Source organism: Homo sapiens, chromosome 15, assembly GCF_000001405.40.
Source record: "Homo sapiens chromosome 15, GRCh38.p14 Primary Assembly".
Classification (NCBI taxonomy): domain Eukaryota; kingdom Metazoa; phylum Chordata; class Mammalia; order Primates; family Hominidae; genus Homo; species Homo sapiens.
Window position 1 is genome coordinate 95,478,542 of NC_000015.10, and position 23,600 is coordinate 95,502,141.

The 23,600-nt window shown below is 36.6% G+C and overlaps 2 long non-coding RNA genes across 4 annotated transcripts in view; one reads left to right on the top strand and one right to left on the bottom strand.

Moving 5' to 3' along the window:
- LOC105370993 (uncharacterized) overlaps nucleotides 1–15,242 on the bottom strand; it is a 30,197-nt gene extending 14,955 nt beyond the window's left edge. Inside the window, exons 1-2 of one of the 2 annotated variants that reach the window (NR_188325.1) lie at nucleotides 15,109–15,242; nucleotides 12,958–13,008 (exon numbers count right to left, since the gene is read on the bottom strand). This is a non-coding gene — a long non-coding RNA (uncharacterized LOC105370993). The remainder of the gene's footprint in view (nucleotides 1–12,957; nucleotides 13,009–15,108) is intronic. The other variant, NR_188326.1, reaches the window with a different exon arrangement.
- Nucleotides 1–23,600, top strand: part of LINC00924 (long intergenic non-protein coding RNA 924) — a 74,755-nt gene that overhangs the window by 45,449 nt on the left and 5,706 nt on the right. Inside the window, exons 4-6 of one of the 2 annotated variants that reach the window (NR_027132.1) lie at nucleotides 19,140–19,459; nucleotides 19,852–19,938; nucleotides 22,967–23,110. This is a non-coding gene — a long non-coding RNA (long intergenic non-protein coding RNA 924). The remainder of the gene's footprint in view (nucleotides 1–19,139; nucleotides 19,460–19,851; nucleotides 19,939–22,966; nucleotides 23,111–23,600) is intronic. The other variant, NR_027133.1, reaches the window with a different exon arrangement.

Below are 23,600 nucleotides of genomic sequence, written 5' to 3' on the forward strand. Positions count from 1 at the left end.
CCCAAGGTCAGAGACTGGGCAGTCTGTGTACTATTTGTCCTTTTAACCCGATTACTTAGGTTGGTGTCTGGGACATAATAAGTGCTCAAAAACATCAAAATATGTTTCTGTATGACAGAACTCAGCAGTATCACTGGGAGTTCATTTATGTGTATGTGAGATTTTGTGAACTCTCTATATAAATGAAGTATGCTATTTTGAAGTAGCATATATATGTTAAGAACTATATATGGCATATGGTGTTCAACATAATCAGCAAATATAGTATTTATTGAAAATGGAGGGATACATTTTTAAAAAGTTTTCTGATAACAATAAGACAGATTAGGGTTTTCTGCTCTTTTTCTAATAAAACTAAAAAATTAAAAACATAGAGTCTGAAAAAATTAACTTTTTGAATTAGACTTACTTATTCAAATTGGAAGATTGTTTCATTATTCATACTATTAAGAAATATATATATATTTGTATGTGTGCATGCATACAAAGATTTTAAAATGTGAAGTATACATTATTTTCTTCAGTTCAGCCAAAAATGTTTTTACAAATTTACCTCCAATTCTTATTTTATTATTCTGAACCCTCTACATTTGGCAGCATATTATTGTTATTTTTAATCAGTGTATAAACATCCCAGCAAGAAAGTCTTTCTTGTTAAAGAGATATTAATCAAAAGATACAACTTTTTCATTACACAGAAGGAATAAGTTCAAGAGAGCTATTGTGCAACATGGTGACTATAGCTAATAATAATATTATTGTATTTTTGAAAAAATGGAAAAAAGACTTGTGGGTGAATTGAATAATCATATATTTGGGGAAACTTAGACTTTGTAGACTTGTAGATTCTGGCATGAATAAAAAATAAATTATCTGGTAAAAAGCAAAAGAAACTCTTTCTCCATTAGCCCTTTTTCTATCTGCCTAGAGTAACACTGAGTATTCCGGTACTAGCAGCCAGGAGGCCTAGCGTTGGCCCATGAACTCACTTATGAATAGTCATTTAATGTGTTGCTTCTTCAGTTTATAGCAAGGGCCTTCTCTGACGTCTTCTCTACTTCAGTCTGAAGGTTGTTGTGGAAATAAAAATAGGATAATGTGCATGCTAGTGCTTTGAAAAGTATAAAGTATGATATAAATGTAAGATGTTATTGTTAAAGGGGGTTTAAAACGACAGCATAAAAAGACTTGTTATAAAAATAAAATAAAAGTGACTCTAGTCACTTATTTTTATGAGGCACTTTTCTCTCTTTGGAAAAATATAATTTACTAATTCAAGAGAGAGCTATTAATTTCTAAGTCCTTCACAGCCATTAAAGCAGGCATGATGACTTCAATTCAGTGTACAAATGGAGTGGGCATACTGCAGGGGAATGGTACTCTCAGGTTACATATAAATGGAATTAAATTAAATTAATGAAAAGAGAAGAAAAGCATGTGTAGATAAATAACTAACTCATCTCCTAAGAGGCTCAATGTCTGAACTAAGACATGAGTTAAAATATATTAAATTTCTCACATCTCCTTCCCGGACTCCCTCAAATATCATTTAGAAATTATTTCTAAAATACTAAATATTGATAAAAATAATATCTGTATGAGACCTCTCACCCTATTATGTGTAAAATTGTCATTGGGTTTTAAGTTGAATGGAGTGTGGTATGCTTCCGATGCACCTACATTGATGTATCAATGAGGAAACCCAATAACTTTGATGGTGTTTCCAAAACCCACTGTGCAAATCACACAATCTCAGAAAGTCATCTTGGTAAATGGTGAAAAACTGAACACATGGCAATAGGTACTTCTAATTAGATGAGGATATTATTTATACTTTGATGTTAGAATATTCTATTAAACTGCTTTGAATTTTTTATAATTTTCAAAATATGATGCCAGACTGAACATGTGGAGAGTAAGAAATGGAAAGTGATTCTCTTAAGGGCATCCTCATTTGGTTGTTTTATTTATCATGTGATGCTTAGTGATATTTTGGTCCTAGCAACAAATCCCACTGGGTTAGAGAAAAGGGAGATATCTGAGTGATCATGGGAACATTTGTGGACCTCTCTGTGACTCAGTTTCCTTAGGAGACAAATAGGGATGATGATATTCAATTTTCAAGATCTCTGTAATGCTTGAAAGAGTTAATGTTTGTAAACTGAACTATACAATGTCTCAAATGTAGCTTTTGTTCCCATGTCACGATGTTGTGTAAATACATGTTAAATGGCAGATTCTAGCTGGGGGAGTATTTTTGGCATGCCACAGGACTCTCTAGACACAGTTATCTCTGTTAATATTTTTATCGATAACATAGGAAGATAAAGAACACATTGAGTTTGCCGATGCATGAAGTTAAATGATATTAAAAATTCAATAGCTGAATTGATATCCAAAATGAATGAAGTCTAAGAAGAGGAAATTTCAAAGTGTAAGGCCTTGTAGTTGGATTTTTGAAATCCAAATTCTGAAAAATAGGTTGGGAAAAATATGGTTTAGCAATAGTAAGTATATCTATATGTCTATCTATCATTTTTTCTATAGGTAAAAGAGAAAAATGCCTTATGAGTTAAATTAAAAGTAAAAATTTAAGTCTTCAGACAGATGAAATTATACAAATGGTACCATTTTTTCAGGACTCAACAAAGGATTATATCTGAAATACTCCCACTGGACTACAAAGTGATTAGGCAAAACTGGAAATATCTTGTACAGCTCTGAGTACCAGTTTTTGGTAGGAAGAGAGATAAACTAGAACATTAGAAAAGAGGAAGGAGAACATTAGTAACAATCACTATTAATTATGTATCAGATCTGTGTTAAGCATTTGTTACAGATTATTTTATTCCTCCTTTACATCTGCCCACCATGGAATATATCATATTTACCCTCAGCCTTGGAGAAGACTCAAGGGAAAGGCAGATGAACACCATCCTAAACATGAAGGCCTGTAAAGGTCAATGGGATAAAGCTGCAGGTGGGCTTCTATTAAATATAAACTAGCCAGTCATAGGTCAGAGAGAGAGAAAAAAGAGACAGAAATATTCCAGGAGGAAGTGGGGAGAGATTGAGCACTGGATCTGCAGCATAATTTAAAGACTCTCAGATTGGGCTATGGCATCAAACAGCTGTCTGTTTATTGTAGTGTATTTAGATGTACTAGGAACTTTCTCTTATTGCCATGACATGTTGATAACCAGCACCATTAGTGGATACTGATATTACCTCTAACTTCTGCTGTGACATCAGCTGGCATTAAGTTCACCTTGTCTTTTCTGAAGATAAATCTAACTTCCTGAAATGGATAACTTTCAGCTATCTTTCACATAATCTGCCTCTAATATCTACTGAAAACAATCTCTAAGCAAAAGTTGCTGCATACAGTCTTAGAAATCATTTAAAAAACAAAAATGAGTAAGCCTTTACCTTCCCATCAACTTCATGTACCCTTAGTTGCTCATGTCTGTTTTATCCCTAATATCTTTTATTACAGAAATATAGACATTCCCTTTAATAAAAACGTGGAGGCACATCAACAGGAAAGCCTGTCAGTCTCAAATTGCTTAGACTGAGCCTGAGTAAAATCTATTGATTTCATTTTCAAATCTGAACACCCTTTCAAACTATTATAACTTGTTTTTGTTTTATTTGATTTAATGTGTTGGCTATTCCACCAATATTTCTAAGATTTTCAGCAATCTGGCAATCTGAAAATGCATATAAAGAACAAAATGGTAGACTAAGGCTTGCCAAACTTTTATTCTTCAAAAAGAATTATTTTTAAAAAATGCGGAAACTAAACCAACATTTTCAGAGCTCTGGAAAACAATAAAATGTTTATAGCAAATAAGTGAACACTCAATCAAGAAAAACCCATCTTAAAAGAATAGAAAAATTTTGTGGCATTCGAAATCACCCTCCTCCTGCCTCTCCCGGGCATGACAGTGGTCTTCAGTTTGAGATAGCAGCAGCCTGGTTTCCAGTTCCTTCCCTTCAATTAGAGGAAGCAGAGCAGACCTTATCTGAAAATTACTGTGCCCATCTCTTTTAACCTGCCTGGTAAATGCACGAAGGATTGACACAAAGTGCTCATCTTTGTTTTGTCTAATTCACAACTCAGGTGGAAAAGTGGCAGATACTGCTCATAAAATGTGCAAGGTGACTACAGACCTGCAGCCACCTGGGCCAAGAGTTTATAGGTAGAACATACAATAGACCAACTAAACTCTGGAGAAGAAACCAGGCTGAGGCTCTTTGGAAAATTAGGACATTCAGAAGCAGCCACATTTACAGGGACGTTTAGAAGGCCAAGGACCTGTTCAGGTAGATGCATGCTCAAAAAAATCCTGTGAAAACCTTACTCTTTCACCTCAGGCTGATGTCTAGGCTCAGAATAGGCCTTTGTTAAAGTGTTGGCTCTTCCAGAACAGAACCAGTTTGCAAAGACTGGGAAAGCTCCTGAAATTGAAGAAAATTTTATCAAAATATAAGCTGAACACAAGCCAAAAGAGCAGAGACTTCCATCATCACATGCCACAAGGAATACCCTTTGCAAAAATAATTTGGAAAATTCTCAAAACAAATAGACCATTATAGCTTTCAACCATTAAAAACAAATAAACAAAGCAGGGAAAATCCTGAGGAGAAGGAGATTTTGTCATAGAGTTACCACAGTATAATAATCAAATTTCTAATTTTCAACAACAAAATTCATAAGATATACAAAGAAATACAAAAACTTGGCCCATTCCAAGAAGCAAAATTAACTGACAGAAATCATCTTCTAGGAAGTCCAGACACTGAAATTACTAGACAAATGTTTAAAACAATTGTCTACAATATGTTCAAAGAGTTAAAGGAAGGCATGGGCAAGGGTAATAAAATAAATTTAAAAAAGGGAATATGAACAAAATGAGAATGTCAACAAAAAGATAGAACATATTGTTTTAAAGAAACAAAAAATCTGGAGCTGAACATTTCAATAGTTGAAATTTAAAAATTTACTACAGAAGTACAATAGCAGATTTGAACAGGAAGAGAAAGAACTTGTGAGTCTGAAAAGAGAAAAACTAAAATTATTGTGTCTTAGGAGCAGAAAGACAAAGAAATCAAGAAAAGTAAACAGAACTTAATGGACTTGTAAGACACCCACAAGCTGATCAACATGTGCATTTTGGGATTCTGAGAAGGGGAAGAGAGAAATAAAAGAACAAAAAAAAAGATTATTTGAAGAAATAATGGCTGAATATTTCTCAAACTTTATAAAATTAATGAATCTACAAATCTAAGGATTTCAATAAACTCCAAGTAGCTAAACTTCATAAGCCCACATAGAGATACATTATAATCAAACTTGTAAAAGACAAAGAATCTTGAAAGCAGCAAGAGAGATGTGACTCCTCCACATACCAGATCCAGAAAATCTGTCCTTCAAGATTTGGGGAGAAATCAAGATATTCCATAATATGCTAAATCTGTGAGAGTTTACTGCTACTAGACCTGCCCTACAAGAAATGCCAAAGGGAGTCTTTAAGGTTGAAATTTTAAAAAGCTACACAGTAACTCAAAGCTTCATGAACATAGAGTGATCTCCAATAAATGTAAATATAACGTGTGGAGAAACAGAAAAAGGAGCCACTGTTATAGTAATTTTCATTTGTAATTGTACTTTGTATTTACTATAAGATTTAAAAGACAAATATGTTAATTATTATAAATCAATGTTATTGGTCACATAATGCATAAAGATATACTTTGTGACATCAGAAACATAAAAGAGAGCAGAAAGAGTAAAGTTGTAGAGTTACTACTTGCAATAATAGTTAATTTGGCATTAGTTGAAATGAGAGTGTAATAATTTTAAGATGTTATATATAATCCCCAGGGTAACTGCAAATGAAATATCTATAGTCTATATGCAAAAGAAAATGAGAAGAGAAGCAAAACATGTCATTACACACACAAAATTTCAACGGAACACAAAATAAGCCAGTAATGGAGGAAATTATGGCAAATAACGAAAAGGCAAAAATCTTCCATTATTAGGAATTACCTTAAATATAAATGGGTTAAACTATCCAATCAAAAGGCAGAGATAGGTAAAATGGATAACAACACAATTAAACAAACCGTTATCCAACTCTATGCTGCCTACAAAATACTCACTTTAGACCTAAAGGGATAAATAGGATAAAATTGGAAGAATGAAAAAACACACTTCACATAAATAGTAACCAGAGGAGAGCCGAGGGGGCGATACTATCAGATAAAATAGATTTTAAGTCAGAAACTATTCTAAGAGACAAAGAAGAAAATCATATACTGATAAAATGATAAGGTAATATGAAGACACCAATTGTAAATATATATGCACCAAATAACAGAGCCCCAACATCTATCAGGCAAACATTGGTAGAACTGTAAGGAGAAATAGTTCTACAACAATAGCTGGAGACTTCTATACTTCACTTTCAATAACTGTCCTCTTCCCTACTGCCGATCATGTAAATCTACCTACGTTTTCATCCTTATCCATCCCTTGTTCTTCCCGTTATCATGGGGAAATGCTCTCTCTCATCACATATGTGTGAATTTTCCAGTTCTCCTTCTGTTATTTTTAGCTTCATTCCATAGTGATTAAAAAAATGTTGTATAATTTCAGTCTTTTAAAATTGATTAACACTTGTTTTGTAGCCTAAGATATGCTCTACACTGGGGACTATTCCATATGTACTTGAGAAAAATATGTATTCTGCTCTTGTTGGGTAGAGTGTTCTATATTTGTCTGTTAAATCTAATTTGTTTATAGTGTTGTTCAAGTTCTCTTTTCTGTTATGCATCACTAGTATAAAATACAATAAAATAAAAATTCAATTTAATTCCACATCCCCTGCCAGATCCCCATTCTTTCAAACTCAATTCTTGAAAGACTAGGGATGGAAGATGTATGTGGATTTGCAGGATTGGCAGTGGGGCAAAGATAACATTTATTTGTGAAGCTTACTGTTCTGAGAAGGAGGATATGATGTCATCTACTTTAGATGAGAAGGAAGTTAAAGTGTTGTATGTGTTAGAGGAAAGAGGGAAAAGTCTTCAAGAGTTGTTAAGTTTGAAGGTAAGATTTGGCTAGTTTTGATGGTAATTGGAGTTTAGAAGCTGTTGTTTTGATTTTAGTAAGCCAGAACTCAATCTAATGTGCTTTAGGTTTCCAAACATTATTTAGAGGCCATTCTCCTAGATGAACTGTGGGACCCTACTCAATTTATGTTTTATTATTTATTTATTACATAAACTCAGATGCTTATAAAACACTTTAGGCAGTTTAAACTGTCAATTTTATTTATTTTAATTGCCTATTTCTATAAAAGCCTAAGGTCAAATGTAAAAAATAAGACAGGTTTAAAACAGCATAAAGAATATACAAATATATGTTTCACATATCTGGAATCATTTAATTAATTAATATATTTAGCTAGGGGCTTCCTGGCAAACAAAGCAAAAGGGATACACATTGAAATATAGATTTTATATCATATAAAGGAAATCTCCTGGGAAAAAATAATTTTTCTGGTACTAAACTTCTAGCACAAACAGTGTCATATAGATCTTCATCTATGGGACATTAAGTGATATGATGGGCAATGTCTTCAACTCTGACCTTCTGAAAATACAGAACATTCTTCGAAAGGTCTTGTAATACCTTCCTATGAAGGCTGAGAATATAATGTTAAATCTCAACTCAAAGAAGACATTGCTTTGAAAAATTAAGATTTTATTGCCCTGGTAGTTGTGGTTTGATGATTTACTTTAATCTGAAGATAAAACTTTGGGTTCTTAGAGGGGAGGAGAGATGACTAATTTGTGCCTCCATCCACCACGCTGAAATATTTTCTGTCTTTAGCCGGTCTTTGGCAGGAATGAATGTAAGATAAATTTCTCGTTGAATATTCAGACAGGAGTCTACAAATGTTAGATAGTCTTCCAGCTCACTAAATGCATTCTTCAGTTGTGCTTCCTGCACTATTCATTCACGGGATTGAAATTTTATTACTATTTTTATCAGTATTATAATCAATACTATTTTTATAATCATAATTTTATTTCTGAACTCTTTAATTGCCTTTGTAGTGGACTGCCTAGCTTCTTACATCTCTTTTAGGGTTTTAACTGTGGTATTTATTTATGTATTTATTTATGAGACAGAGTCTCTCTCAGTCGCCCAGGCTGGAGTGCAGTGGTGTGATCTCGGGTCACTGAAACCTCCGCCTCCTCAGTTCAAGCAATTCTCCTGCCTCAGCCTCCTGAGTAGCTGGGACTACAGGCGTGCGCCACCACGCCCCGGGTTATTTTTGCATTTTAGTAGAGACAGGGTTTCACCATGTTGCCCCGGCTGGTCTCACATGCCTGACCTCAGGTGATCAACTGGCCTCAGCCTCCCAAAGTGCTGGGATTACAGGCGTGAGCCACTGCACCTGGCCAACTGTGCTTATTTTAATATATTGATCTGTTTGCTCTGTTTCCCAAAGTTGTGGAGATAGGTATCTTTCTTGTCTTTGTCCAATTGTGTGTGTTTCTTGTTCATATGCACTAGTTTATGCATCTAATTACAGAGGCCTTCCTCAGTGATGAAGAGAAAATACCTTTTAAGTATGAAAGCTTTATTTCCAGCCTGGGTGTTACCGTACTGTTTCCTGATCCCTTCAGAAAGTTTAGAGTTGTAAAGGGCTTGGTGGCCTAGACCCTCCAGATATGGCATCCGAAGTGTCATCCCATAGAGTACCCTTTCTGCTATCTCTCTTTGGAGCACCCCAGGACATAATTCTACCTTCCATAAAAGTTCTCTCCTGATAGATTTCTGGCTCTTGTCCCCTTCTTAAGTCCAATTTAACATGCCTTCCATCTTTAAGGTATATATTTTAAATTTCTGATTCAATATGAATTTCTTTTTTCTCAGGTAAAATAAGTTTAACAATAAATTGCTGTAATCACTAGGTATTTGAGGCAGGGGACGAGGAGGACATTGCCAGATATGTTACATCTGTCATCTTGTTTAAATTCTTGATGGTTTCTGTGGGGTTGAGACTATTAAAGAAATAAACACTTAATTAAATGGCTCCATGAAAAGGTACTTCTGATGAGTAGAAGTCCCAAAATCTGATTTTAAACATGACCAGATTTTACATACAGAATAATATAAAGGATTTACTCTATTGATTCATGAAGCTGAAAATGAACAAACCTAACATTTAAATTATGATTTTCTGTAGCTGAGACCTCTTTTTCATAGCTCATTGAGTATTTTGTAGAGTATAACTGCCTGCACAGAAAATACTCATTCACTGATTTTTATATGGATCTTTTTATTTAGAAAAATAGTTGTCAACTGCTTTTACATTCAAACATTCTGAAAATTAAGTTTTATTTTTCAGATAATCTAAATTATTTTTATCTTCTACGGTACTTCTCATAACAATAATGCTTACAGTAATTTAAGAGAGATTTTACATTTGTAAACTGTAAAATGCTGTTAAGAGATGACACGCTGTTTTTGTTTCACAGCCTGCAATCTCAAAATTTGATAAAGTGGTTGTTTGATCAATACCTGAGCTTAAGAAAAAAATAGACAAATACTTTTCTTTCACAGATAATATGGAAATGCTTATTGAAGGCATCAGTAGTTTTCAAGCATTTCCAATAGCCTGTGGGTCACCACCTCCACAGTATGAAACAAGAAGCAATAGTGTTACTGTTTGTGTCCACGATTCCCGGGATAAGTGACTTAGTTGCGTTCATTTTTGCCTCTTGAATCTTTCTCTACTAAGTCCATGTGAAACACACAAACATTCACATGCACATTAAGAAAAATGATGTCAATCACTTTCATGCTTTTCCGTTTCTTTTATTTCTTGGTACAAAGGATCACAACCTAAATGTGGATTATTCATAAGACAGATATCATGTTAAACAGGAATGTATGCTTTCAATATGAATAATGGTCTCTAAAGAATAAAAAAAGTGCCTGCTTTCAAACACAGGTGACCTAGTGAGCACTTTCTAAATGACTAGGGGAACTCAGTTTTTTCTTCTGGAAAATGGAATTGATAATATTAAATATTTGGTGAAGGGCTATTTGGATGTGGAACCGCATAAATTATATTCATGATATTGGTATCTGATAATTGCATTTCCAATAGGAATTACAATTAAGACTCTTGCAATATGACATACTTTTGATCATTTTAATTTCCTTTGTGATTGCAGAGAATGATAATTCTTTGGGGGACTTGACTCCAATTTTCACATTACAAAAGAAAAGTTTGGATAATGGAATAATGCAGAGATGAAGGAAGTCTTGATCTCCAATCGCTTATTTCCCCCTTTTCCATTTCTGCAGTGGGGATGCCACCTGTGTTCTGCTCATTATAAAACTTTTAGCAAGAGGCTAATGAAATGCAAAGCTTTCTATAAGACCAGCACCAGCCTGCCTATCAAATCGTCTGAAATATTTATTTGCCCTCTTGAATAATTGATAGGGGCATCAGCTCTCCCGGTCAATTGATTTATTAAGGGACTGTTTGGAATTAAACAGCTTAAAGATATTAGATTTAGCAGTGATCTTGCTTGTTAGCATATTCATTTACCTACAGGAGCTCCCATTAGATATTGTTAATACATGACGTCTCTAGTCACGGCCTGTATCTCCTCAAATTGCATTAACGCCAGGCTGTTTAGCCACAGAATAACAGGTTTGATTGAGTGCTTGGGTTTGGTGTAATTAGATTTTCCTAGAAGAGGGGGGACTACTTTAATGCCATATGCATTAAACTAGATATGTCATCAGCATTACTGTAATTGGTGAACAGGAACGCTGGAGACCTGGCTGTATGTGAATGTTTGTGTTTATGGCTCACCCGTCCATTCTCATAGATGGCACATAATAGCTATGCTTACTTACATATGCATGATCCTGAGGGGGAAAAAAACCTGACCTCTTTAATAAGCATCTCTTTTGAAAAAGGTGGAAAATTCTATCCTGAGTAATGGGATCAATTTTTCGTCTGTTAAAACTGCCAATTATTTCTCTTACTGAAAAGGTCATGTGGCTGGTTAATCAATGATGAAAATAGTATGGGAATATATGTGGGTATATTCATGTGTTTGATTTGCATTTCACTCTAAGACTATCTGCTTCGGTTTCCAATTGTTATCCTGATTGGGGGCCACAAACACACCAGCAGAGCTCTCTTTCCCCAGTGTTTTCTCTAAGGAATTACACCTTCTTATTAACAGAGATGCATAGAGAAAATGAAATCATTTCTGGTCACTTTTCCCTTTTGGAGCTAATTCAGTATGTGCAAAGAAGCACTAACTTTGCACATTCAGGAACAATGTATCCCCCTATAGCAACCTGTGTAGTGGGAGAACGTGGGAGTGTGAATGAAACTAGCGTTAGACCAATTGAAAGGTAAGCCAATTTTTCTTTCCTATTTCCATGTTCATTTACTGTCTGTCTTCCCCAGGCTGTAAGAGCCCTTTGGATTACATCCCAAGTATCCACAACTTAAACAGGGAGGCACACTTGGAACTTACCTTTCTCTTTCTGTGAATCGCCTTTTCTACATTAAAGTTATGAAAATATAATATGTTTGGCCGGGCTTGGTGGCTCATGCCTGTAATCCCAGCACTTTGGAGGCCAAAGTGGGAGGATCACTTGAGGTCAGGAGTTCGAGACCAGCCTGGCCAACATGGTGAAACTCCATCTCTATTAAAAATACAAAAATTAGCCAGGTGTGGTGGTGGGCACCTGTAATCCCAGTTACTAGGGAGGCTAAGGCAGGAGAATCACTTGAACCCTGGAGGTGCAGGTTGCAGTGAGCCGAGATCACACTACTAAATGCCAGCCTGGAGATATATATATATATATAGAGAGAGAGAGACAGAGAGAGAGAGAGAGAAAACTTATATGTATATAGATATATATATATAGAAAGCTTATATATACACATATATATTATGTGTACGTATGTTTATATATGTATATACACGTGTGTGTGTGTTTGTGTGTATATATATATATATATATGCCTTCTTCCGCAGTTCCTTAAGACCTTGATTGCACACAAAAAAATGAAAAGATTATTTCATTTTATGTTACATATATATCAATAAGTAATAATAAAACTTATAGGTAACCTTGCTATCCACAAGGCAGGGACCCATAGGTTGTCCCATTTATGGTGACGTTTGGTTAAAGACTACATTTGGTTAAAGACTCTGAGGTCTACATTTGGTTAAAGACTCAGGCTCCGGGAGATCAAGCTACCTCTCTGAGTTCACAAAGCTAATAAAAGCAGAATCAAAATTTGAATCATTTTAATGTCCATGCCCTTCCCACTATAACATGCTGCCTACTTAATGACATTGACAGTGATCAGGCATTTTTTTTTTGAAGCTGACTTCTTAATGTAAAGGAGGAGCCTAGATTGGTTTAATTTTGGTGATCAGATAGGCTAATTTAAATGGCCATCACCTTGGCAGATGTGTAAGATTGATTTTTAGGGTAAGGAGGAGTTTAGGGAAGGGATAATCACAGTTCTCCTGACTGATGTCTGATACTTGAGGGAGATGGTGAAAGGGGAATTAGAAAGCTTAGTAAGTGACTTGGTGTCCTTTAAATTCTGTATAGGTGACTTTGACTCTCTTAACACCGCAAGTACTTTCCTGGGGTTGAAGAGCAGCGGCAGCTCCAATGCTTATATAGAAGGGGATTAAGGTAGCAATCATTGGAAGAAACCTTGTTTAAAACTATGTCTATATAGCCAACACCACACTTTTACTAGGGTTGGGGACCCGTGCAGATTATATGGCAGAGTTTAAAGTACTGCCCCAACCCCCACTTCTGATCATACCCATCTGATGAGAGAGGAAGAAGGCTGGCAAAAAAGCAAGAGTTACCTGAAATTTAATTCCACTGACAAGTTGCAGGACTGACACGATCCTTCTTGGCTGTAAACAAAATTAGTGTAAAGATATGTATGAAAGAAGTCTCCTCTAAATTTGAGATGACTTTCTAGATCTCCAAATGAACGTCTCATAGCAAAATGATTCCTCAATTTTTAGAAAAGCTTATGAACAATGAGTTACATCAGTGATTACCCATGAGTAAAGGTGAAATTAAATGGGAGTAAAGAGGTGTTTGAAACTATTTTATTCCATCAAATTACCACATTAGGATAGTTTCAATATTATTTGTCATTTCTCAAACAGATTCATAATGGGACACATTTTCCCTAATAATAGCTGTGTATTGGGTTTGTCTGTGAATATAAAGGCTAATGAAAATGCCACTTCCTTGAAAGGGAGTTTGTTGGAAATTAGAACTTAGCATTGACATAAACTCACTTCTCTAACTGAAAAAAAATACACATATACATGCTTATTTATATATATCTAATACTATATAATATATAAAATAACAGATAGCTAGCTACATACTATAATTGGATGTAAGGGAAAGTGACGACTCTCAGTGATGAGACTATAAACTGGTTCCCAGATTTGGATAAAAAAGAGAGCCATGAATTAGCTTGGCACAGTAGCACCAGCTACTAGGGAGGCTGAGGCAGGATGATCCACTGAGCACAAGATTTTTGAGGCTGTAAGTTCTATGATTGTGTCTGTAAATAGCCACAGCATTCCAGGTTGGTCAACATAGTGAGACCACATTTCTAAAAAACAATAAATAAACAAATAAAAATTAAAAGGGCAGCCATGAATTATTCTGTGTTGTTGGAAATTGTTCATGGCCTCATAAGGGGGATAATTTTCAAAATAGCATTTGTTTGGGACAATCTTGCAAGGTTTATCTTAATTGAATTTGAAAATACTTTTTAAAATTCCCTAGAAAGGTTACTGTTCTATATGAGGCACAACCAGAGCAAGTTTCTGTTCAGTATAGTTCTTGGCCACCTGCAAGTCCTAGGTGCAGGCTTGGGGACGGTCAGGATAGGTATGTGTGCTGTGCTGTCTTGGGGCAGGGCAAGGTGGATACCAGCCCTGCCTCATTCCTGCAGCATTAGGGTGCACTCAGAATGCAAATTGGCAGGTGCCAATTCAGATACCTAGCACATCCTGAAAGGGAGGTTGCAATCTGTAGGGAGTGGGCTGCTCTCCCTGTGTTAGAGTTCAGCCCTTGGGTAGGGGGTGTCTGGGTCCTTGTCGAAGTCCCACATTTTAATTTTTCACTGGGCCCTGCAAATTAAGTAGCCAGTCCTGCCCAGACACACTCACACAAAGGCTCATCACGATGACCACTGTCAAACATTAACCAGAATCACCACCTCAAGACACTTCAATAATTTTGAATGCTCTTACCACCACTCCCATAACAAATGCAAACACAATTTAGACTGAGAAATAATAAACCTTATAATGGGTTAGTGATTTGCCTACGTTTACAGAATTTTCTTAATACATTCGTTGTTAAGAGGGAAACAATTAAATGCTAGTCAAAATCCCTGGAGATAGTGAGCTGGCAAATAAGTTAAACACCTTTCCAGGGCTCAGTTTCCTAAAAACAGCAGCTAGTGAAAAACAACTCAATTTATCGTTGGAGAAACTGTCAAAATCTGTGCCCCCACGAAATCTCCTGTTGAAATGTAATCCCCTGTGTGGGAGGTGACCAAAGCGGAGATTCTTAATGGCCATCAGAGTTTTTGATACCTCTGTGAATATTATTTATTACTGTCATTTCTACTACTATTATTACATTCTGCATTTGAAAAAAAATGAGGGTCCATGGATTAATTTCTGTCCCCACTGCCCACGTGACCCCTGAGTATGGTTGTATATCCATAACTACACTTACACTCTTCCTTTTCTCTTTCTTCTTCATCTTGGGCTTTTCCCCCAAGTCTTTATTTCCTCTTCCCTTTGCCATGTCTAGTTTCCAGCACCCAGTGTCATCTATGAACACTCTGTAGCATTGCTGCAGGGACCACACTTGGTGAAGATGCCCTGTGCCCCTGTGTTAGGCCATTCTTCATTGCTATAAAGAAATACCTGAAGCTGTGTAATTTATAAAGGAAAGATATTTAATTGGCTCACAGTTCTCCAGGCTATACAGGAAGCATGGTGCTGGAATCCTCTTGGTTTCTGGTGAAGCCTCAGGAAACTTAACAGCCATGGCAGGAGGGAAGCGAGGAACAGACATCCCACATGGCCAGACCAGGAGCATGAGTGAAGGGGGCATATGTCACACACTTTTAAACAACCAGATCTCCCGTGAACTCACTCCTCATCAAGAGGCTGGCTCCTTAAGCCATTCATGAGAGACCTGCCCCCATGATCCAAACACTTCCCTCAGGCCCCACCTCCAACAGAGGGGATTACATTTCAACAGGAGATTTGGCAGGGGCACGGATTTTGAGTTTCTCCAAGGATAAATTGAGTTGTTTTTTACTAGCTGCTGTTTTTAGAGATGTTTGGGAAATAATCCATACAATATTTGGGGAGTTCCTCTGAGGACTACCATCTATGTATGTGTGGACATTAAGTCTTTGAGGGTTGGTGTTTTTTCCTTTTGATTAAAATGTCCTGCTTGGACTCCTCTTCATTCACTTTGAATCATTCCATTTTGAACCAGGACCGAGCTGGGTGGGCTAAGGCTACATGTAGTTTTGTCCCGGGGCCTGACAGGGTGCTGCTCAGGAGTCCGCTAGCCCACACAGTCCATACTTCTGATTCACAGTCAGCCTGGGAGTTGCTGCCAGCCCTAGATCCCCATCTGTGGAGTTCATTGGTTTTTTTCCTTCCCTGATGTGTGACCCTGCACTCAGAAGACCTCATTCTCTTGTTTCTGACCATTTCTCCAAGTTTGTCTGAGTCTTTTTGAATTATACTCCTGTATTCTAGAGTTCCGGTCAGCCTTCTCTGCTGGGTTCAAAGCACAGCCACAATGAGTCCACAATGAGTACTCTCCATGTAAACACATTTTCATGGTGAAAGCTACAACATATTTTAAATTATTATGGTTATAGCATTATAAAAACATTAAAAGCATGAAATTATGTAATTGTATTTACATATGAAATCTGTCTATATCTATACATAGGAAGATCCAAGGGTACATATGTATGTATACTTGTGCATGTGGGATTTATTCTTCTGACTCAGGAAAGCAATTTGATGAAGTGACATGTTTCTGCTAAACAGCACACATCAAGACACGTTATGCTGCTTCTGTTTATCCCACCTACTGGAAGGATTTAGATTATATTCTGCACATTACTGAATCAGACAAATAAGGAGTAGATGTTGAATTGAACAACTTACTGCTTACATTCATTGCTTGATGTTTTATTTAGAAAGGCAATTCTCACTGAAAGTCCAAAAAAAAAGTGAGAGAAATGAATATCCAAAAATATTCATTTCATTTTCTCGGGAAAACAGCATCTCCCCTTCAAGGAACATGAATTGTTCTCTCTCCTTAACTCTTCAGCCAGCTCCCTCTGGATCTCAACTTTGGCTCTATTGCTTGGTTTTTCTTTCCTTCTTTTTTTTTTTTTTCTTTCCTGTGTGTGCGTGTGTGCAGGGAGGAGAAGCCATGTGTCTGAGGTGGCAACAGCAGTCGCGGAGCCAGCGCCTTAATCACTGTTTACTGATTTAGTCCATTTTACTAGCAGGCAGTGCTTTTCCAGAGAGCTGTTTTCCTGGCGGGGTGCAACGACTGCTTTCAGGGGCAAAAGTATGTGTCTCGAAGCTGTCTGGCTCACTCTCCCTGGCACTCACTGGCTTGCCACCCCTGGCAGGGCCGCTGCACCCAGGCAATGGGCCGGCGTGTCCGCCTCTGCCTCTGACGGTGCTCATCTGGAGGTAGTGTTAATGAGAGCTGGAGGAAAGCAGGAGGCAGGGCATAGAGGACCCACCGGGGCGTCCAAACAATACCTATGGCAGGCAGAGCCAGCGCGTTTCACACTGCGCCTCTGCTCCCGTGGTGAACAGAATTGAAAATGACAGATCGAGGATTTTGCCTTCCCCTCTGATAGGCTTTTTTGTTTGGTTTGTTTACACCGCTTTGGGGTTGGGTGGCTGCTATTGTTGTTGCTGTCTTTCCTCTCTGCTTTTTCCTTACAATTGTGTACTTGTTACACTTAAAATGGTGGCTTAGAGATGAACAAGAAAAAGGGCCAGTTAGGAATTGCTCATGTTTCTTGAATAGTTTATTTGTCACTTTTAATAATCCCCATCTTTCCTCTCCCATTTGTCATGGTCAGCACCTGAACTCCTCCAGTGACTGGCAAATTCAGAGAATCGTAGAGGGTGGGCTGACCTGTGAAACTAGGTTTGCAGGACAAAAGAAAAGTGGGTGACGTGAGTGTTGGAAAAACTCTGTGGGTATCAGTGTAAGTGTGTGAACATCAAAGGTGTCGTATGGCTCTTCTAGGTAACTACTCCGAGGACCAATCAAATGGCTCTAATGCATCCCCATTGGCATATCTCATCTTAGAGTCCGTTCAGGGCAAGAGGATCATTCATCAGACATGAGGGTTTTCACTGGTCCCAGGCCTGAGAAAATTCAAGGGCATGGCTGTAAGCTCGCGGTGGGAGCCAGGGCTTTGTCTAAAGGGAAACTTGCCAGCAACATGAGTTGCTGATATCACGATAATCCCCAAAATAACAAACTCCTTTCCCTCTCACGCTTCTTACTCTTCTGCTGTCCAGTCCAGATGTGTTGGAGGGTGATTTCCCATCTCGTGCTTTCTGTACTGTTTTTAATTGAAGGAGTTATGTGTGCATCCCAAATAAAATGTTCAACATTAGATTGAAAAACCATCATTATAACCACTGCAGTCAGCAGTAGTGACTGCCATGAGATGCCAGGTGCTTTGAAACATCCTATACTGGCATCCTCATTCTCCTACAGTCCAGGCTACCCTCCTGCCCGACCATCCACTGAAACTCTCAGTGGTATCCAGTGCGCCATCATCGTCCTCTTCCTGTCACCTGCAGGATCTACCAGAGACTCAGTGCAGTTGATCCATTTCTCCTTTCCAACACTCTCCTTTTCCATTTAATAATTATTCCAGTAATCTCCCAGTCTCCCATAAACTCACAGGACTCAGTGAGATTGGGGAATAATGTCAATGTCCATGGAGCATCTTGAAAACATTCATGGCAAACTGTGCTTGCTATCTTAAAACACTCTCTACACACTTCAAGCATCAGTTTAAGAAAGTGTGCTGCTTTGAATTCAGTAGTATTTATCAGGGCCTATGCTAGGGAAAGATTCCTTTCCAACCTCAATAAAAAGCCCTCTGATTTCTATATGATCATCATTATTAATATTAATAATAATGCAAATAAAGTGTCCCTAATGCCTTTATAAGTAGCCATCAAATGATGACATTTCTAAGGACTAAGATTTGGAAAATCAGAGAAATGTCTGGTAAAGTGAAGTCTCCAGTTTTGCTTTTAACCCTACTTGTCACTGTCCTTACCTATGTGAAAAGGAATTGATTTCATGTGTGTTGATACTATGCACAGTTGACAATGCCCCACGTGTACATAGTCAGAACCTTTAGTGGCACAGAGACAGATGCAGAACCGCATTTTCTGCTGTCTGCAATTGTGCAGGTAAGGGACACCACAAAAAGGACTCTGCCCTGCCTGGGACATTGTTACAGAGATTAGCATCTTTGCTGGAAAATTCAGAGCAATGTGGATCTAAAACAAACTATAAACATATCTCAGAAGTAGACACTTTCTCTAAGTGAAGCATAGCAGTAGCGTGTGACACTGGTCTGGATGTTTGCAGAAGGACTGTTATCCTAAGAATGCTCTAGTCTTCACACATCTCAACAACATCGTCTCAAGTTCAAAGTTGTTATTTTCTCTCTTTCAACTCAAAGTAGATAATATTTGAAATGAGGGAGAGTGAGAGAGAGAAATGAAGTGAGAAAAAGAAAGAAGGAGAGATCACCTTTAAGGCTTTTCTTTTCTCTTTCTTTCAAATGACACAATAGAATTTTTTTTTCCTAAAGTTGTATTAGGGATTCACTTAAGCAGAAATGAACTGTAATATGCAAATAGTTCTAATTGGACTGCTAATAGAGCGTGTCTCTGTTGTTTTTTTGTAGGGAGTTTTATGCCTATGTAATCAGTGCAGACAGCCGTTAAGTAAATGAAGAGGCAACTAACAATGTCAGAAAAGAGACCGGGCGGTTCCGGCTGACACTACCCTAATCTTCCAGGACCCATTAAATGGTAGTTTCAACGCATTACCTACCATAACATCCTTGAATATCACTGATTTTATTTGCAGTATCAAACATTCCATTTCATGCCCCATTAACAGTGGGAGCCTGGGCTTTTTGACGCAGCTAAACATTTTACTAACTACCTGGACTAAGTAACCAATTAACTTTTGGAGACAATACGGCCAATTAAGCGCGAAAAGGTAAGGCTGTCATCCCCCACGAAAATTGAATTTCCTTTTCCTGATGGCACTTATTGTCGCCGTTCAATTGTTAATGGAGATTCGGTCCCTATTGAAGTATGAAGGCAAAGTGGAATGGAAAAGTTCAGAGGACTTGGTTCCTAAAGAGTAGGTCACAAAGTGTCCCAACTGGCCACTAATTCAGTTAACTTTTCTTCATGCCAGATTACTTATTGGACGCGACTGGAACAGGGCTCTAATACGACATTCTGTGATAGTACATTGCACAATCTGGTAGCTTGCGAGGAACCCATAGGCCCAGGGCAGTAGTTTGGGACCTTGTATGGGAGGTTTAGGAACAACAACAACAAAAAAGTTATCCATTTTTAGTTTTGTTCTTGTTTTTTTGACAGCAGAAATATCAGTGTCCGACAAGATATTGCCCTGGTTTTCACTGGCTTGGACTCTTCAGAGAGAAAAACAAATCCATGTATAGAGAGGTGGGCTCCAAATTAACCCCCTGTGGTTTGGGAAGTTATTTTCTAAATGGCAGACAAGGTCTCGGGTGGTGATTCTGCTATGTGGATTTGACTCCAGTTGACTGGAATGGAGCACAAGTAATGAACTTGGATATCACATTTTTGAAAGCTTGAGGCAAATTTTATCCCTTTGGTAGAAGTCTTTCATCTTTGAAGGTACAGAAGAAAATTTGTCCCGGAGGGCATCTTCCACAGCCTTGTATAAGTGAGAAACATGAAGCTTATATAGAGTCAGAAACTAAACACTGAACTCAGATTTATCTATCTGTAAAAAAAAAAAAAAAAAAAAAAACCACATCAAACAGCTTTGTGAAAATGCAACTGTTCTAAATGGGAAGAGAAATCAAGAATTTTGAAAAATAGGTAAAGAATAGACTTCCAATGATGATCATTTGAATCTGACTTTAATACAAAAATGTTAATGCTTACATATTCAATGTTGTCAAATTATTCCTAGAGCAATACAATTGTTTAACATTTATTTAAAACCTGCTCACATACACTTAAAATCTGATTTGGGCCTGAAAACTCATAAGTAAAGCAGTGATCTAAGTTGTGCTTGAAATTATTAATTTCCTGTATTGTTTAATGGTAGAGGTATTTGATCCCCACAGAACAGCTGTGGAATTGCCATGGGAAAAAAATTCATGTATTCCATTGCTATGTTAGTATTCTTGGTTCATAACTTTTTTATGTTGTTTCTGCCAGATTCTGTGATGATGGAAAGCAGGAACAAAAAGAATTAATATTATATACTTTCAGGTTTAGATATTCTTTGAAGAATTTGATAAGGATTGTTACTTCCAAAGAAGATTTGAATAAGAAATAGATCTATATTAATATGGACCAATTAATAACATTGAAATTTCCTTTTGAAATTTTCCTTGGATTTTAATATCTTTTCTCAAGAGACACAATTTTCTTTATAGAAGTGATTGCTGTGGGCTATTTATTTTAGCCATTTTCCCATGGCAGTGGATGATTTAAAAATGATTACAATAGTTTGAACTTCCTGTTATTGAAGATAGAGGAGTAAAGCCAGATCTCAAATGCTTCCCACTCCCACCCCCTGACATCCCTACAAGAGAATAATGAAAACAAACAAGCAATAACAAAACTACATCAGCAGTACTCAAACTGTGGAAAGGGCTGGTGGCCAGAAGCTTCCAATCATCCACATCACCAAGCAAAGATGGCAGGAGATATTGTAGGAAGCGCCGAGCCAGGAGATGCTGCAAAGCCTTAGGGTCAGCTGAGGTGGGCAGAGAGGCGTGTAGTGTAGACAGACCCACATGCAGTTCCTCCCAGCCTTTTGCACAATCAGGGGAGAAGCCAAAAGTCTTTTGCCACTTGAGTTAATAGAAGTGAAAATGAAGAGGAAAGTAAACAATCAATGCTATCGATGGTACAAAGTTTCCAGGGGCCCACACTATACCTCCTACTAGAGTCAAGTAGGTTCCTGAGAAGCCAATCTTGACATTAGACATTTAACAAGAGGAAAGGGCAGATACTAGTTTCAGTCACTGAGGTTGCATCAAATCCTCAGGCTACAGAAAATTCATTTCTCAAGTGTGGCTCCTAGAAGGGGACATAGGAGGGGAGAAAGGAAAGTAACTGATTACATGGAAAAACAAAACAAAACAAAAATCCAGATCAATCAGTCAATCTATAAACAGTTTAGAAAACAAATCATGGGTTGTTTTAATCATCAGGGGTGAGTAGATCTTCCTAATAAACACAAAATTCACATACTAGAAAATGTTAGATATATGTGACTAAAAATATTCTGGATAACAAGTACACACTGTAATGTTTAGAAGTCTAAGGAGAGTCAATCCAGGGAAAAAATAATTCATCTTTTCACAAAGGTCTATTATTTTAACTAATAAAAGCTCAAACAAATCAATAAAAAAGATAGAAAACTAGCAACTTACAAAGAAGTAGATACAAATGGCCAATAAATCTATTTAGATTCTCAGTTTTACTCAGAATTTTTTAAATTGCAAATTAAAATAACAGCAGGTTACCATTTTTTATCTCTCTGATGAAACGAATGCTAAGGTTGGTTTCTCCCCAGTGCTGAAGTGGGTGGAGCCAGGCTGCCACTTCCTATAAACTTTCTGGGTAGCAATTTACTGATGCATCCCCATATTTAAAAAGAGTACTTTACTAGGAGTGCTGTAAGTTACACAAACAGAAACACACAGCTATGCATATATATACATATACATATATTTAACTTTCATATATAATTTATATATGTGTTATATATATTATATTCATATCAACTTTATATATATAAGACACACATAAATTATATATATATATATATTTTACAAAAGCATTAAACATAATTTTGGCAATAACCAAAGTATCTGTCGATAAAGGGGTGTTATAATAAAGTCCACTGAATAGAAAGATTGCTAGATACATTAAATAAAAAAATAAAGTGCACAATGATGTGCTTTTCTGAAAAGAAAGTTTGCTAGATATGTTAAATTAAAAAAAATCAAGTGCAACAGGATTGTTTTCTGATGTGTATGTAATATTTTTCATTATGTATATATTTAGATATATACACACATTTTTTCATATATACACAAATTTTTCATATATATTTATTTCCACTATTATAAATAATATAAACAAATATATCTATATCTCCATGTGTTTTGCATAATCTAATACATTCATGAATGTTTAGGGCCTCTGGAATAAATCATAAGAAATTATGTATGCTAGTTGCATTTAGAGTTTGGTGGGGGTTGTTATAAAAAAAGGATGTTACTTTTTACTTTGGATATTCTGAGTTTTTAAGTTATGCATATGTATTATTTTATACTATAAATTAATATCCACATTGTTAATAAGAGGACTCAGTTTCTGGGCACATTTTGCTTATTTGACTGTTTTCCTCTTGATATTTTTCACTAGAAACAAGCAAAATTACTTTTAAAATGTTTTTTTCTTGCTCCCTATGTGATTGTAGAAAATTTGGAAAACAGGCTTTTCCTATCCGGATGAACAGAGATAATTTGTGTCGATGGATGTTCTGTGAAGGCCTATTGTGTCGAGCAGCGTATTAAAACATAAACATGGCTCTTCCCCCAAGAAACTTACATTTCAGTAAGGGGTATGTATATTCCAGTGAAGTGTACAAACAATAATAAAAGGTGTGTTTAATGATCCTTTAAGGGCACTTAAGAGATTTCTATGACAAGATATAAATGAAATGCCTCATTGTGTTTGGACTTGAATTAATATTTAGCTTCTTGAAATAATATTTTCTGACTAATAAACTAATATAGGGCTCATTTACTAAACTTAGAAAAAATGCAGACAAGTCAAAAAATTCCCAGTTTGAACAGTTTTATATCTTGCTTTTGCAGTGAACATTTAAAAAAGGAAATTAGGTAAATAGCATTCAATGAAGGCTCAGAACTAATATGACTACTACAATTATATCATTTTTGAGACATTGTGTCATGAGCATTTCTTTATGGCAATACATTATCTTTGAAAGCATAACACATATGATTCAGTGATGCAATATAACTTATTTGAACAGTTCATGCTTGTTGGGCAATCATTTTGAACTTTATTTTTTCTCATACATATTTTTA